The sequence below is a fragment of the Homo sapiens genome, chromosome 13, assembly GCF_000001405.40.
Source record: "Homo sapiens chromosome 13, GRCh38.p14 Primary Assembly".
NCBI lineage: Eukaryota > Metazoa > Chordata > Mammalia > Primates > Hominidae > Homo > Homo sapiens.
The window spans coordinates 58,626,588-58,645,117 of NC_000013.11; the positions used below are offsets into that span (position 1 = coordinate 58,626,588).

An 18,530-nucleotide genomic window follows, 5' to 3' on the forward strand; every position below is an offset into this window, starting at 1 on the left:
AGATATGCAGATATCAACACAGCAACATAAAAATCATGAAAAAGCAAGCAAACATGACACCTCCAAAGAAACAGAATGATTCCCCAATAACAAATCCCAAAAAGGAAGTATTTGAAATGCCTGAAAATGAATCCAAAATTATGAAATTAAGGAAACTTTGTTAGATACAAGAGAACAAAAGTCAACAGATAGATATATATTATACAAAAGAGCAAAGCAGAAATTCTGGAACTAAAAAATTCAATGAATTGAATTTAAAAAATACATTGAGATCTTCAACAATAGACAAGATCAGGCAGAGAAAAGAATTTCTGAACTTGAAGACAGGTCTTTTGAAGTAACCCAGTCAGATAAGAAATAAGTAAGAATGGAAAACAATAAAAAGTCTATTTGATCTATGGAACAGCATAAAGCAAAATAATTTGAATTTCTGTGAGTTCCAGAAAGAGAAGAGATGGGCAAAAGCATAGAAAACCAGTTTAATGAAATGATAGCTGAAACTTCCAAAGTCTTGTGAGAAAGATTGACATCCATATACAAAAAGCCCAAAGATTCCCCTATGTATTCAATCCAAAAAGGTCTTCGCTGAGACATATTATAGTCAAAATGTCAAAAGTCAAAAACTAAGAGAGAATCCTAAAAACAGCAAGAAAAAAGCATCAAGTCACAAATAAGGAAATTTCCATCAGGCTAATATATTGGTCAGGGGACACCTTACAGGCTAAGAGAAAATGAGATAATAGATTCAAAGTGCTGAAAGAAAGAAAGAAAAAAAAATTAAAAACCTGCCAGTCAAAAATATACCCAATGAAGCTATCTATCAGAAATAAAAGAAATAATGTTTTTTCCAGGAAAAGAAAAACTGAGGGAATTCGACACCATCAGACTGGCCCTACAAGAAATGCGTAAGGAAGTCCTACATCTGGAAGAACAAGAACAATATCTATCATCATGAATACATGTGAAAGTATAAAACTCACTGACATGGTTTGGCGGCGTCCCCACCCAAATCTCATCTTGAATTTTAGTTCCCCTAGTCCTCATGTGTTGTGGAAGGGAAATGGCAGAAGGTAATTGAATCATGAGGAGGTTACCCCCATGCTGCTGCCCTCATAATAGTGAGTGTGTTCTCACAGAAGCTGATTGTTTTGTAAGGGGCTTTCCCCACTTTGCTTGGCACTTCTCTATCCTGCCACCATGTGAAGAAGGACGTGTTGCTTCCCCTTCCACTATGATTCTGCATTTCTTGAGACCTCCCGAGCCATGCAGAACTGTGAGTCAATTAAACCTCTCTCCTTTATAAATTACCCAGTGTTGGATATTTCTTCACAGCAGCATGAAAATGGACTAATACACTCACTGGTAGAGCAGATACAAAAATGAAAAAGAGAAATGAATCAAATGTTACAAGTACAGAAAACCACCAAATCTTAAAGATAATCAATAAAGAGGAATAAAGGAAAAATGGATGTACAAAACAATCAGAATATTATTAGCAAAATGACAGGAGTAAGTCCTTACCTATAAATAACAATTTTGAATAGAAACTGTGTAAATTCCTTGATTAAAAAATATAGACTGGCTGATTGGATTAAAAGCAAGACCCAACTGTATGCTGCCCATAAGAAACACATTTCACCTATAAAGACACATGTAGACTGAAAGTGAAGGGGTGGAAAAAAATATTCCATGAAAGTGGAAACCAAAAATGTACAGGAGTACAAAATCTATTATGAAATAGATTGTAAGTGAAAAAAAATCATAAAAACAGACAAGGTCATTACATAATGACAAAGGGATCAATTCAGCAAGGGAATATAACAATTGTAAATATGTGTGCACTCAACACTGGAGCACTCAGATATATAAAGAAAATATTATTAAAACTAAAGAGAGAAACAAACTCCAATACAATAAGAGTTGGGGACTTCAGCACCCCACTTTCAGGAATGACAAATTGTCTAGACAGGAAATCAACAACGAATCATCAGACTTAATCTGTATTATAGACCAAATGGACCTAATAGACGTTTACAGAACACTTCATAATCAGGGGAAAAAAAGAAGTCATAGACTGTCTCTGCGAGTCCCAAATCCTGGACTTTGCAGAAAATAATCTCAAAAAAGCCATTATAAATATTTTCAAAGAACCACAACAAACCATGTTTAAAAATTAAAAGAAAGTATTAATGATGTACCACAAAAAAGCAAATATTAATAAAGAGATAGATGTTATAAAAATAAAGAAATGAAAATCCTGTCACTGAAAAGTACAACTGAAATTAAAACTTCAACAGAAAATGTGAACTGATGAAAGAACGAATCAGTAAACTTGGTAATACCTCAATATCTATTACACAATCTGATGAACAGAAAGAAAAACAAAATGAAAAAAACTGAAAAGAGCCACAGAGACCCCTAAGACACCATAAAATATACCAACAGGCTCACATGGGAGTATCAGGAATATGAAAGCTTATTAAGGTTCACTATAGTTATCTCATTTTCCAGATCTCCCTACTAAGTTTCTGGCTAGTTTTTCAGTCTTCTGCTTGACCTAACCAAGAGAGAGAGAAAAGATCAAAAACATCTTTGAATATATAATGACTTAAAACTTTCAAATCTGATAAAATAACATTAATATACACATCCAATATGTTCAGTGAATTTAAAGTAGGATACACTAAAATATATACACATCTTTAAATATTATAATCAAATTGTTTAAAGACAAAGACAAAAAAATTTCTTGAAGACAGAGAAAAATGAAACATTACATATAGCCAAACACCACTATAATTAACAGCTAATTTTATATTTGAAACAACAGAGGCCAAAAGGAAGTGGAATTATGTATTTACAGTGGTGGAAAAAAAATAGACAACCACCTGTCAACCAATAATTCCATATCTATAAAAGCCATTCTTCAAAAATAAAACAAAATAGAGTTATTATAAAAAAATTTAAAACAAAAGATTTGTCATTAGCATATCTGTCTTAAAAGAAATGCTAAAAGAAATTCGCATCCTTTGGGCTCAAAAGAAATGACACTAGACAGTAATCTGAATCTACACCAAGAAATGCAGTGCACTAGAGAAAAAAGAGTAAGGAACTTCTAAGTAGCCAAATTATTCAAAATAAGCCAATATCTATCCAGCTAGTGAATTTAAAAAAATAAATAAACATTATTTTAAAAATGAAGTGCCTGCACTCATAAAACTTTTCTCTCTTCCTCTTATGTCTTCCAATGTTCCAACATCCAAGCCAGAAACCTGGGAACATCCTTTACTCTTAATTTTCCCTTAGTTTTTATTCCCCAACCAATAAATGATCTTTGATCTTTTTTTATTCTACTAAGTAACTATTTCTCAAAGATATATAATCTTTATTTCATCTAGTATCCCTGTTTCCTTACCTCACAATCATCTTAAAACTGCAGCAGGCTCTGACAGGTTTTGCTTCTTTGTCTTGTTGCGGTCTAACTAATTTTATGCATAAAGGTCAATGGGAGATTTCTAAGATGACCTTCAAGTTTCCCTAGTAAATAGGCTCTGTGTAATACCTTTTCCTTGAGTGTGAAGAGTTTTTGTAAGCATGATAGAATCAGGGTTCTCTTGATTGTGTTACATCATATGGGAAAAGTAGTGGGATAGTCCCAGTTGGGATTTTTCTGTGTTATCAGCAGATGGGAAAGAGTTTTCTGCTGGCTTTGAAGAAGTAAGTTCCCAAGCCGTGAGAGTATTACATGTCTAGGAGCTGAAAATGGCCTGTAGGAGCTGAAAGCATCCCCAGATTACATTTAACAAGAAAATTGGGAAATCAGTATTACAAGTTTGGGGAACTGAATTCTGTCAACAACCCAAATGACCTTGAAAGAACCTTAAATGATAGCCTAGCCCTGGCTTACACCTTGATTTTAGCCTAGAGAAACCTTGGCTAGATGATCTTTGCCTGGACTGACCTATGGAAACTGTGATATCATAAATGAGTGTGATTTTAAACCACTCATTTTGCAGTAATTTGTTATGCACAAATAGAAAACTAAGAATGCTATAACTCTTGTTTCTTCTTTAGCTTCTCTTTATAAAATATATTGCTCATACTCCAATCTATACTTTGACCAAATGGCACTTCCTCAGTTTATAAGGTATACTGCACTCTTTTGGGGGACCTTGTGGGGTATTCTGTTCTATTTGATAAGAAACCTTTCACAGCTTCTTTATATCTGTCTAAATCTATTTATTCATCAGGTCTTCACTAAAAGTTTCTTAGTATCTTTGGAGTAGATTTTTGCCTTAGAGTCATCTTGTACTAGGCAGATTGTGAACATTCAGCAAATGATAGATAATAGTTTTTAAGTGATGATAGCTAATTTAGTCATGAAGATGACTAAAGTGAGTGGGCTGTTTTCGCCATATCTTTTGAGTGATCAAATTAGGTTGACCACTTGTTGACATAATCACTTATTTGGCATGTCATCCCCTGAAAAACCATTATATAGAACTGGCCTTTTCACATCTTACTAATGGTAAATGATTATATACCTATTACTGCATAAATACCCCTAAGAAGTTTTATATCCTTATTGGAAAAATTTTCCACAAACATTGCCTGTTTACTAATAATATATTTTTTTCATTCTCTCTTAGAATGACAGGTAGGCAGCTCTCTCTGATTTTGAAGAGCAGAAAATAAATAAAATACTGACCTTTAGAATGCATTATTCATGAATATAAATATGTACATTATACTATTTAAGCAACTCTTTTAAAGGAAACTTTACGTATATATTCAAGCCGAACATTTAAATCTACATAATGCATTGGTTATCCTATACATAGCTTGCTATTTATTTTGAAAATATTCTCAATTTAAAAATCCAGCAAACTAATACATATAATAAAACATATATTCTAATTTATTCATTAAATAATTCATATTATTCAGAAAAATATTGGTCAAGTGATTTCATTTATGACACTTTAATTCCATGAGTAACAGATTAACATATACATCCAGGTAAAACTTGAATGTCTCTAAAATCATAATGTTTAACTCTAGGGAAATCAAATCTAGCAGTAAAAGACATTCTCAGTGGTCCAAATTACAAAAGGAAAAGGAAGACATATCAATCCTGATTTTGGTTTAGGTGTGACATTTAAATCTTGATTTTTTTTCCAATCTAGTAATCCACTTTCCTCTTTGAATAGTTAACTACAAAGTGTTATCCTAGATATTCTTCTAATCATATTAGCATATAACCTATAAACTACCCTGCAGTTAGCTTAAATACTAACTAGAGACTGTCTTTTTGTTGGCCCTATATTCCGTTGGTTTTCATATCTGTTCTACCTTAGTTTCTATCTACATTTTACATGCATGTTCCCTTTTGCCCCAGAGTTTGAGGAATCTGGATTCTCTTCTTCTTCTGTGTCATGGCTTTTAATACCCCATCATCAAGTACTTTATGTACAACTAGCCTTTGAGACACTCAATATTTTTTTTAAAAAAATTTCATTTCTAAAAATAGGAAACTTGAAAATAAACTGGCCTTTTCTCATTTGATTTCATATGCACACAGGAAGAGTTTGTTACCTATGAATTTGTAACATATTTTCCCATAATACTATCAAAGTCCAACAGGATAATTCAATGAGTTTCTTATAAATATAAGCCCATATTTAAAATCACATGTCTTTTCCAAGTATACCATGATGCACAAGTTTCATTTCCTAATAATATTCCATACATATTATGAGTGCTTGGATATCTGTATATTCTAATTTATTTTATAAACCAGAGCAACATGTAATAAATATTTGATTTAACTTAGTTTATGCTTTATGGTGCCACCAGTAAATATTTCTTTCTTCATTTTCTTTTTTTTCTTTTTTTTTTTTGACAAGGTCTGGCTCTGTTGCCCATACTGGAGTGCAGTGGTGCAATCTCTGCTCACTGCAACCTCTGCCTCCCAGGCTCAATATATCCTCCCACCCTAGCCCTCTGAGCAGCTGGGACTACAGGCATGTACCACCACAGCTGGCTAAATTTTTGTATTTTTTGTAGAGACAGGGTTTTGCCATGTTGCCCAGGTTGGTCTCGAATTCCCGGGCTCAAGCAATCTACCTGCATTGGCCTCCCAAAGTGCTACGATTGCAGGCGTGAGCCACCACACCGGCCACAATATTTCAACCAAGATATCCACTAGTGTAATTTTTATAGACATAGTATTTGTTTCCTAGACCATTCACTTCTTATAAAATTGCACAATTTTAATTGTTAAAATAATCCACATAAGCAACATTAGTTAAGAAGATATCTGAGTTTGATTCTCAATGCTACTTTCCTTTATAATTTCTATATATTTGGATAATTTTATTCAACTTTTAGAATTCTATTTATTTTTGTAACATGGAGATAATAATAATACAACATAGTTACAGAAACTTTAAGAATAATTTATGTGAAAGAAGTTTTAAAATGTTAATCTTATACAAATGCTGGCTAAAAATAATATACCATAGTATTTATAAAAAGAGATGAGATGGGATAAGAATGACAGCATCATTAAGCACTTGTCCCAGGAATTTATTCCACATCTCAGTAGTTTCTATCTGATTTCAAGGATCCATAGGAATTATAACTGATTCCCCCATTTCTTTATGTTTCTAACAGACTGGAAACATCAAATTAGAATTCAGTCTTTTTTCTCCCCATGGCTTTTAGTATCAAGTTTCCATTTGAACAACCAATGCATTTGTCTAAACCACCAGGGTGCCTAACTCTAAAAGAAGGTGGAGGCGTATACACACTAACTTTTATGTCATCTTGTCATGCTGTGGTATCTCAAGGTGCTTTGCAATGACATTAAACTTAAAAACGTTATCTCTCCTGCTGAGTTAATTAGTTAAAATCAGGTAAGTGACAATGACAACAAACACATCTTAAGTTCAAACTTAAACCTGAAGCCAATATCAATAGACGTAGAGGAGTTCCTTGAAGCAGGTGTATTGTAGCTCAAAGGGAGACCACATGCAGAGACATATTTCAGCAAGGAAGATGTTAAGAGCCCTGTTTTAGTTGACTTCAAATTATGAGTGGTGAAAAGAAATCTAGTCCAAGAAGGTAAGTTTTTATTTTTGACAAGCATTGTGAACCGGAGTTAGCTTAGTGGTATAACATGGCCTTCAACAAGTGCCACTGGAACAAGCTTTTCGTCCAGTGGTATAAATTCTGAATAATTGGCAGCAACTATGTTTTGAATCAATCACAGTCCATTAAATAAATAAGTTAGGCTGTCAGTGAAGGAAAAGGCAGATGTTTTACACCTTGTAAAAAAATGACCAAGACACCCACTGAAACCATCCAAAGAAGAGGTGATGTTCTGTATTTCCTTCCAGCTAAGAGCAGATATATTCAGAGATTGAGATCAATAAGCACAAATTCAAATTGTTTAACCACAGTAATATTCCATGGAATCACTCTCTGTCAAGGAAAAGAACCTTAGGAGGAGCATTTAGTACAGGTACAATCCCACAAATTTTCTGCAAGTTGTTACTCTTAGAAAGGTCTTGGGCAATTATATATTTTCATTTTTTTCTTTGTAATTTTATTTTATTAATATTATTTATTTATTTATTTTGAGACAGGGTCTCTTTCTGCCTCCCAAGCTGGAATGCCATGATGCGATCTTGACTCACTTCAGCCTCAGCCACCCGGGCTCAGGGCTCAGGTGATCCTCCTACCTCAGACTCCTGAGCAGCTGGAACTACAGGTGCATGCCACCATGCCTGGCTAATTTTTGTATTTTTTGTAGATATGGGGTCTCATCATGTTGCTCAGCTGGTCTTGAGCTCCTGAGCTCAAATGATCTTTCTGCTTCTGTCTCCCAAAGTGCTGGGATTACAGGCATGGGCCACTGCATCTGGCCATGTCATTTATTTTAAATTCCTCTGTGATTAGTCGTATTATTTTTTCAAATTATTCCCTTCTCTTCATTTTGCTTATAGGAATTGACTTGCTTTGGCCAAGAAATGTGAGCAGAAGTGATGAGAACCACTTTCAACCAAAGTTTTAAGAGTCATCATATGGTATCACCATGGCTTCCTTTCCCTTTTCCTTGAGCTTTAGGACATTCCCCATGGAGGACATGCCTAGGTCCCAACATGAAAAAACACAGACAGCCCACAAAAGACATCAACTATAATTGAAGAAGTTGTAGTTGTAGGTTTTTGAGTTTTGAGACTGGCTCATTACTATAGCATAACTTAACCAAAACTAATTGATACAGTTTTCATGCTAAAACAAAGAAGCAAGTAAGTCAGCAAAACAAACAAGTAGGCAAACATTTGGAAAACAAAATATAAATCATTAACAAAGAGAATAGCATTGCAAATATCTAGAAAAGGCTACGCACAACAAGGCATTTTAAAGCAGAATCGTCTCAAAATATTACACAGATTAACAGTGTTTCCTACATTATAAGCTTCACTGAAACTGGCACGTTTAACTTGAAATATCTTAAATATCTTAAAAATAGATATCTTACAAAAGAGAAAGGAGGAGAGAGAAAAACAGGAAAACTTGTTTTTCTAAGGATGAGCTTATTGGAGGTGAAAACTCTTCAAAAAACTTCAGAAATTATTCTCCACCACTAAGGTAAAAATTATATACAGAATGATAAGAACTCCACCTTTGTAATTTAGGCCCATAATTGGTGTTGGAAAGCATACAGTGATTATATGAAGGTAAATTTAATTTTCAGTTTGTCTGATTTCATACTTCTTACACGCTACAAGAAGAAAGACAAAACCAGGGAAGGCCGTTCCACCCATGTTACTCTCTTCTCACTAACAGTCTCCTATATTCCCACAGTCTATACAGCACTATTTCTGAAAGTCATTTGATTTCTAATTATAGCACCAACATTAACTCCTAACACTGGAAATATAAAAGAAATGACATATGTGTACTATGCTATTATATAGAATAAAGAAATTATTAAGTAAATGTATACAGGGAAATAGGAGAAATATTTTTTGTAGAACCACATATTGAAAATGACATAATGAAAAGACTTTTTTCTATGTGAAAAGTGTGTGTATAACCTTGATCATGAAAGGAACCACCACCAAAGCATCTGTTCACTTTGGCACTGACAAGGTACAATTTTAGAAAATCAAATTAGGATATCTCCTGTAACATATAAGTTGCTGGGTAAGTCATCACTGATTAATGGTGTGGCAGACAAAAAGCATTTTCAAATAATTTTAAAGACAGAAGCTCTTTGAAGAAAAATACTGCAAAAATTGACCAGTAAGTGGGATTTGTTTTAGAAGTTTCCTATATGCATATACTTTTCCAAGGAAAACATTAGTCAAAAAGATGGAAAAGATCCAAGTGAATATTTATCCCTCTACTCTGCCTGAGCATCTAGAGACTGATAGCGTGCATATAAGAAACACTATGGGTTAAAAGGTTAAGGTAAACATTGCTAATCTGCCTTTTTTATTCCTTTGAGTGTACAAGCAGCGTGGCTGTGGTTAATGTACAAATTGAGTATGATAAACATAAAAGTTTTTCTGTATATCTAACTCAAAGTTATCAAACATAAACAATAGAAAAAGTATGTACTACAATTTTAAATAATGCACCAGATCACCCACAAAGATGACCACTTTTTGGTTAATTTACTTCTCTAAAAATTAAGATTATTTTTCCCCACCAAATATAATTTCTCTTTATTAAACCCAATGCATTTCATCTTCCCCAAATTTGGAATAAACCAGAATTGTTAACTTTAATTTTACAACATCCACCCATGTATTCTAGCACACCTTATGTGGAGAAAAACATTACTTCATATGAAGATAAACACTAGAAAAATATTATTGTTTTGTGTAAAAATTAATATGTTAATTGTTCACTTTCCTGAATTTTTCTAAGTTGGTGCTAGCAGGAAGATATTTGAAAATGTTTAGTACATGTAATCACAGTGAAGAGTTGATACACTTTGATCTAGAAGAATTTAGTTAAGTAAGGGTAATAATTAAGGGGTTATAATCATAAAGCCTGAGACAAATTTGAAAACACTGACCAGAAAAAAAAATATATAACAAATAAAAAGTGGAGTGGGATTCTCAAGTAATCTTCATAATGGAATGTATACACTTGACACTTGAAAAAGAGATGCCAAAGTACTGTTCTGTAATCCATTGTAAGAAAGTTGACCAAGACAAAAAATAATTAAGGCATAGGCACATTGGAAATTGTACCTTTTATATTTGAAATATAATCATCTGCTTTTCAGTACTCTCACTGATATCTTTGACTTGCTGTATTCTCAGTTCCCCAGTGATTTTCCACCATTGGTTAGTACAAGTCAGTGCCATATTTGCCAGTCATCTAAACCTTGTTCACTGCTACCTTTCCAATCCCTAGTGCATATTAAGTAGTCAATACATAGTTAAAGAAACAATTATTCTTTCACTATGTGAATGTTTGGCTTATTCATCTTCCTAATCCATTTTCCCATAGATTATCAGAACTACAGATTAGCCGTATTCTACATTGTTTCCATTATATATATATATATATATATATATATAATATATATAATTAAAATTAATATGTTAATTGTTGACTTTCCTGAATTTTTCTAAGTTGGTGCTAGCAGGAGGATATTTGAAAATGTTTAGTACATGTAATCACACAGTGAAGAGTTGATACACTTTGATCTAGAAGAATTATTTAAGTAAGGGTAATAATTAAGTTATATATATATAAATATAAAAAACTCTCATGAAAAGAGAAGCTTTCTTTATACAAATTATTACATCCAAGACAGAAAAATTTATTAGAAATAATTCAACCCATTTTCACCACAGGGAATAGTTACTGTTATAGCCCTACAACAAATTATGTAAGAGTTGAGTAGCTTTTAAGAACCAACATATTTTAATTAAGGTTATACGTTAGATATTAAATAAAAGGTGGTAGGATATTTATATTAATCAGTTTTTAAAGTCCTATAATTCACTTAACAGATACAGTGACTGTGAAAGAAACTGAAATAGATAGAAGATAAAAAATTAAGAAGCCAGAAAGTGGAAAACCTAAGTAGAAACTAAAAATAGAAATAAATGACCAGTCGAATGCTTCCTTTATTTATACACCTCTTAGCACATTTCTTTTTTACAAAGTATGAATATATTTAATCCATTTTTACTAAAGCAACTTTATTTAGCTGGCTGTTTACCTTTCTGTTAAGCCTCATTACCCATAAAAACAAAGAATGAAGTTGATTAATGTGCTCTAAGTGTGATGTTCAAATTATAATTTTCATATACGTAAATGGATGCTTCTGCAGAATTTTGTTTGATAATTTACAGAGTTAGCACTGTCCAAACCACTAATCAGTTTCTTTTTATGATGACAACTGCAGTAGATTCTTTTGGAATGTTAATTTTCATTAGTGTCTTCCCTTCCTGTGGACTGTATTCCTGGCTTCAGGAGTGATTTCATCATTGCAAACTAAAATTTGTGAGGAAAGACATTTGGATCATTCATTACTTTTCTAAGAGTACACAAAGATAGAAATAATTGGAAACAAAAATTCAAATGGGTGGATTTCAAACGTGAAGTTAATATAAATAATATATATGATAGCTAAAGATGCACTACTTTCATTTAAAAATTTGATTAAGTTGTTGCTGACTACGTTTGTTAAGACTGATATATCAAACAAAAGAAAGAAAGAAAAATGCTTAAACACAGCAAAATGACAATGTCTTTGAATTTTGGAGAAAAAGAAAAATATTAACTTTAGTAATTAAATGATAATATTTTAATTAATATGATAGATAATTTTCTACCTAAACAACTATTTTGTGTAGTTGTATAGATTACCATTAATCATTTTTGACTTTTCAATTAAATCATTTGGTTTTAAAGAAAGCAATAAAACTTGTTCACCTTCACTGTCTGCCTCTCATATTCCAAGTGTGTCATCTCTAGAACAGCAGCAAAATTAGTATCGCATTTAAAGGTGAGGAAACTGAGGCACAGCATTTTTGGGAAGTTTGCCCAATGTTACTTGGCAGAGTGAGATTTGAAGCTAAGCAGTTTGGATTCAGAGCCTGGAATCCTCATTGGGTATACATATTAAATTCATGGAAAGAAAGCATAATTCAAAGCAGAGATGGCAAATGGATTAACGCCTTGTCCTATCATATATTAAGAATAAACCTTAAATCTATATTTTTAATATCCTGTTAAACCATGTGTTATAGAATTGCTTCTGTTTCTCATACTAACTCCCAATTTGCCTGAATAGCAGCATTGGTTCCTGTTAATTTGGAATTTTCATGCTTGGATGATAGTATTAATGTTTTATGCCAGTGTAAATGTTAAGTCTCCAATCAAAGGGCCTGAATATATTAACATTATGCCTCTGTGCATAGGTATGAGAAGATAAGATGAATTATGCTGTCTGAAAAATTGTTTTTGTTCAAACTAGATATATTTGTTTAAAAAACTGCTAGTATAGAGAAAATTTTTGATGTTTTCATTGCACTTTTGAAGACTGAATAAAATATTTTTCCACAAGGTCAAAATAATTGTCAATCTTAGATTTTTCAATCTTGATATTTCCAAATATTATATGTACGTATATACATACAAACATAAAATTAAGAGATAAATGTAATCTATAATATCGTTCATTGTAGATCTTCTTTCCTTTTTTTCCTTAAATATTATTGCAATTTTTAACATCTCTAGAGAATGCTAAGCTATAAAAATTGAGTAGTTTTCAGCAAAAAAATTACATGAAACTGCTACTTGGCAAGCAATTGTCTGCTTTATTTTCATCCTTCTATTTTCAGATTTTTCTCTGATAATTAGTAAGCGCTAACACCACTTTCACTTCTTTATCATCTATTCTCTTCTTAACTGTCTGTAACATGATTGTCCTTTTTGTCAGTCTATTCAAATGGCCCTCAGGAATACTGTGAGGTCCTCATTTCCCTTCATGAATATACCACTATATTATCATCTTTCTGTATTTGTAAATCCCCTATTGGCTGAAACACAAATTGATTTTAAAACCTATAGTTACAGTGATAATGGATTATAGAGTATGTAACACTATGTTGGTCATGAGGGTGAGTATGAGGATATCCTTTACGCAACCCAGGAAAGGCGCATATTATAAAAGGTGCTCCTCATACAAATGAAATAAAGGTATATGCACAGAAAAGTAGTGTTCTAGGATTGACAAAATTACATATACATTTTTAAGTAAGTAGACAGTTGAAATTCCAGTAGGCCTATTTTATGCTTTGAAAAATGAAGTATTGATTTCTGAAAAGTCCTTAAGTAAACTTGATGGGGGTAATATTGTTATTGTTGTCTCTCTTCATTCATGCAGCATACACCCTATTACATAAATAAACTTTGGTGACATAATTTATAAAAACTATGAAGAAAAAGAAATTAATGCATTTAAGTTTTATGATGGCACCCTAAAGACACCATTCAAAACATAAATGTTTTCTTACGGATTTATCAGGAATATTTCAGTGTCGATGGTTGTTAACATTTGTTTTTCCTTGAGAATTGCTTTTCCATGGGTTCTAAGGTGTGTAGAAGTTTTTTTGTCTTAATGATTGGGGGATATTATTGTCATTTCGAAGGTGAGGATGGTTTGGGTGAGACAGCCTTATACAATAAAGATTTTCCTACATCCCATACAACATTTTAATGTCACATGGAGTATTTATTTAGCTTGAAACCCTGTTTCTACAAGAAAGACACTAAGTAATTGAAATATAGAGTTCTAAAAGGTAATATAGAGTTCTAAAACGTGAGTGTGTCTCAGTTGAAAATGAGATAAATTTTACAAAGTCAAATGTATGATTGTTAGTAATTGTTGAGCCTTAAGAATTTTGAGTAAAGTTTTTCATGTCTTTCTAATCTTTGCCTCTCTCAAATGTGGAAATAATGATATTTGTTTTGTGTTAGGATTATAAAGATTAAAGGATAATATGTAAGTGTTTAATATCTTGCCTGACACATAGAAGACACTAGATGAAAAAAATTTTTTGAGGGAGTGTGTCTTGCTCTGTTGCCCAGGCTGGAATACAGAGGCACATCATAGCTCACTGTCGCCTGGACCTCCTAGGTTCAAGAGATTCTCCTACCTCAGCCTCTTGAGTAGCTGGGACCACAGGCATGAGCCATCATGCCTGGATAATTATTAATATTTATTTTTTGTAGAGATTAGTTCTCACTATGTTGTCCAGGTTGGTCTTGGACTCCTAGCTTCCAGAAATCCTCCCTCATTGCCCTCTGAAAGTGTTGAAATGACAGGTGTGAGCCACCACTCCCAGCCAAAATAAAAATCAGTACTGTCAATAAATACTATCATTACTGCTAATATAATTATTACTATTAATAATAGGATACTATTTTATACTATCTTATTATATATACTACATTATAGTGTTACATAGTAGTAATTATTATTATAAGTCATAATAGTAGTAGTAATAGCAGTACACTTATAGTTATGCTGTCTCAAATTTGGAATATTGTAATAAAGAGTCGGGCTCCATGTCAGGTGTGTAAACCACAGGTTTTTCTAAAAGCCTCACCCTTCCTTTCTTCTTTAGAACCACAATTTAACAGGCTGATAAGAATACACTTGCATGTGTGTGTCTCCCTATTTGGCAATGACAGGAAATTTATGTATTTATTTATTCATTAGAGATAGGGTCTCTCTCTATCACCCAGGCCAGTGGCATGATCATAGCTCACTGTAACCTCAAATTCCTGGGCTCAAGTGATCCTCCTGCCTCAGCCTCCTAAGCAGCTGGGATTACAGGCACACACCGCTATGCCTGGCCAGCTGACAGGAATTTAAGCCTCGCCTGCATCGACACTTGTCTCAGTCCAACCTGTTTGTTGCTGTAAAGGCCCAACTTACTCTCCTCTAGTTTATGCAAACCAGCCCAAACCTGCCTATATCAGACCAGCTCTCACTAGGACTCAGCCCTTTGTATGAGCAGTAAGCTTTCTTTCAAGTGCAAAACAAAACAAAACCCATGCTACTTAAAATTATCTGAAACTAGAATCTAATTCCATTTTACATAAAAACACAAAGTATTTGTTTTATAAATTTTATATACACTGAATTTTCTGAGAACCCCAAAACTGTATATCCAGAAAGAACTCTACATATATTATATGACATTTTTTCAAAGCTGTTCATTATTTCAGAAAATCACATCCCCAGTGGCAATGCCTCTTATGGTATTTAAGCCATTAATAAGTCACCTGTATCGATCTATATTTGTAGCTGTCAGAAATAGGTTGCAGAGAACTGATTTTTATTTATTTATTTATTTATTTATTTATTTTGAGACGGAGTCTAGCTCTGTCGCCCAGGCTGGAGTGCAGTGGCGCTATCTCAGGTCACTGCAAGCTCCGCCTCCTGGGTTCACGCCATTCTCCTGCCTCAGCCTTCCGAGTAGCTGGGACTACAGGCGCCCACCACTACGCCCGGCTAATTTTTTGTATTTTTAGTAGAGACGAGGTTTCACCATGTTAGCCAGGATGGTCTCGATCTCCTGACCTCGTGATCCGCCCGCCTCAGCCTCCCAAAGTGTTGGGATTACAGGCGTGAGCCACCGCGCCCGGCCAGAACTGACTTTTATAATATCTTCTCTGGAAGTCATATCTGTGTAATTACATACTGACATATGTATTATTAAGTTATACTTTATTTTCTTTCATTCTCTTTCATACATTTAGATCATTGTATTGATTTATAAAATTATATGTATAGGTAGATTTTATTGCCTGTTACTTTATTTTATTTTATTTTATTTTATTTTGTGACAGAGTCTTGCTCTGTCGCCCAGGCTGGAGTGCAGTGGCGTGATCTAGGCTCACTGCAAGCTCCGCCTGCCGGGTTCATGCCATTCTCCTGCCTCAGCCTCTCGAGTAGCTGGGACTACAGGCACCCGCCACCACGCCTGGCTAAATTTTTTTTTTTTTTTTTTTTTTTTGTATTTTTAGTAGAGACAGGGTTTCACCGTGTTAGCCAGGATGGTCTTGATCTCCTGACCTCGTGATCCGCCCGCCCTGGCTTCCCAATTATCTGTTATTTTTATTGTGTAGATTTTCTTAGTTCACTTTATATATAATAAGGCTGACAATCAAACATGTAGAAGAACATTCTGAAATGTTCCTCTATGTCTTTAATTAATTAAATATCCAAACTTTTCTTATTCACAATTTTTAAAATGGCAGAGTAGAGTAATTGATACTTGTTTGATATCGTTTTTTGATGTCATGAAAAGGAGAACAATGTTGTGTAGTGTCTTAGTATTCCTGCCTTCATTTTATATTCCTCTGTAATACACTGCAGTGATCTTATTACAGAATGAAACTTAAAAAAAAACAAGGAGTGACATGGGTTAGATGGTATCCAAGGTCATAAAATAGCACCATTACAGAAGTGGAACAGAGACTATTCCTACTAATAATGGAATTGAAGAATAAAAGCAAAAACAAGAAAGAGGTGCAAAATTCATGGCTTAAAGAAACAAACAAACAAATGACAAATTTCCCAAAGAAAGAGAAAAGGATGAAGTATATTGGTTATACTTATAAAAATAGAAGAAAATTAATAAAAGAATACGATTGATATATTCCTCAGAATTCGCATATTTATTTAAATCGCTCTCTTTTTTTCTTGTAGAAGATACTTGAGGCCTCCTTAAATTAGTTGCAGTAACACATGGAACAAGAGATCCACATTCTCCAACAATATAGAAACCAGAATTCAGCAGCTCTGCAAGAAATCTAGTCAACACATTTATTATGATGATTTATTATTCACTGAGCACCAACTCAGTGCTTCTTATAACAGGAAAAATAAACTTCTTTTCTATTTCAGATATTTTAAAATATAAACAAAAATAAATGGAAGAAAGAAATAGTCCCAAGTCTATTACTATACCACTTACCTCTTTTTTTCTAGAAACTTATAACAGAAAAAAGTAGGTTCAAGCCCCTAAGGAATAAGTGATTAAAACCAAGGAGTAAGGAAAATAACATTAAAAATGGAAAAGAAAGAATCATGGAAAAAAAAACAAACACATAAATTCCAAGTTTCCAATCCAATTTGAACAGTAATTTGGGTACAGGGGCACAAGTATCCAGTAAGTTAAGTTCTTTTCTCTATCCTTCACCATTTTATTCCACAAATTAACATTCTAATCCTATCTGAACATTCATGTGTGTCTTCTTAAATGCTTTAAGATTCAAATTAATCATTTTTCTTAGTAATTATATTTTTCCTATGTAATGTTTGCATATTCATCCTCAAATTATCAATAATTTATATTACATATTCATGGAAGCCCAAGAGCTCACATACTATATAAACAGACCATTGAATTTTAGACACCTAGTAGCTGAGAATTATTAGCCTGTATCTTCACAAAAATATATATTATAACAAGTTAATTGATCAGGATATAAATAATTTCTATTTTTTTAAAAAAATTCGACTTCTGTTTTACAACAATAAGTACAAATAATGTAATGAAAGCTTGCTAAGTGAAAAGTATAGTGATAAATCCTTTCCAGACCTTTTATTTCATTGAATCCTTGCAGCAATGCTAGTGATATTTGTTTTTGCCACTTAATGGTTGTGGAGGCTGAGGTGTGATGGATTAAGAAGGTTCTCATAGTCACAGAGAAAGTAAGTATACACCAGGATTCAAAATCATAATTCAAACTATGTTCTTAACCTTTCTTCTCTCTCTACTTGCCTCCAATAAATTAAGTTTATTTTTAACAAATTTTTTAAAACACAGAAAAGCACAAAATTTTAATGTAATCAAAACTCATTCATATCAGCACACTCAAATATGAATTACTACTATGTTTATTTGTGTTCTGTTTTACTCTAAGGAAATAATATATTAGCAAGTAAGTTAATGGTCTCCTTAACCATCACCTTACATCTCCTTCAATCCTTCTCATAGATAATCACTGCTATGTAATACTTCTCATCAACTTAATTATTTCATGTATATGATATAAATATGTAACTTCATTCTGAAGGCCTCATTGAGTTAGACACTGAACCCATTACTAATTGTTCACGTGGCTACTCTATTGCCTCAGCATTTGAAGGGAGTATCTTTTACAGAAACCGAAGAACTCTTTCTAGGAGTGACACCAGAAGCAAGAAGGTATCATCTTAGGTGATATTACACTTGCAGCATTTTTCAGAGTAATGGTTAGTTCAGTGGAGACAATGGGAAGACAACTAATTATTCATTTAAAGTAGGTAAATTATATGTATTTAGTTCATACTCTCCATTCCAAAAGTATCAATGTAGTGTTCATCTCATAGAAGTATATGAATGTATAGAACATCAAAGTCATGCCAAATTTCATTTTATAATCCATCACAATACATAATTGCAAATGTACAAATCAAGGTTTTATGA

General features: G+C 33.0%; 1 long non-coding RNA gene across 1 annotated transcript; it reads left to right on the plus strand.

The window, feature by feature from the left end:
* The first annotated feature begins 1,166 nt into the window (after nt 1–1,166).
* LOC105370218 (uncharacterized) lies at nt 1,167–17,005 on the plus strand. Its single transcript, XR_941984.3, has 4 exons — nt 1,167–1,273; nt 7,650–7,774; nt 8,010–8,090; nt 16,766–17,005. It is a non-coding gene; the product is annotated as an uncharacterized LOC105370218 (long non-coding RNA).
* The last annotated feature ends 1,525 nt before the right edge of the window (nt 17,006–18,530 follow it).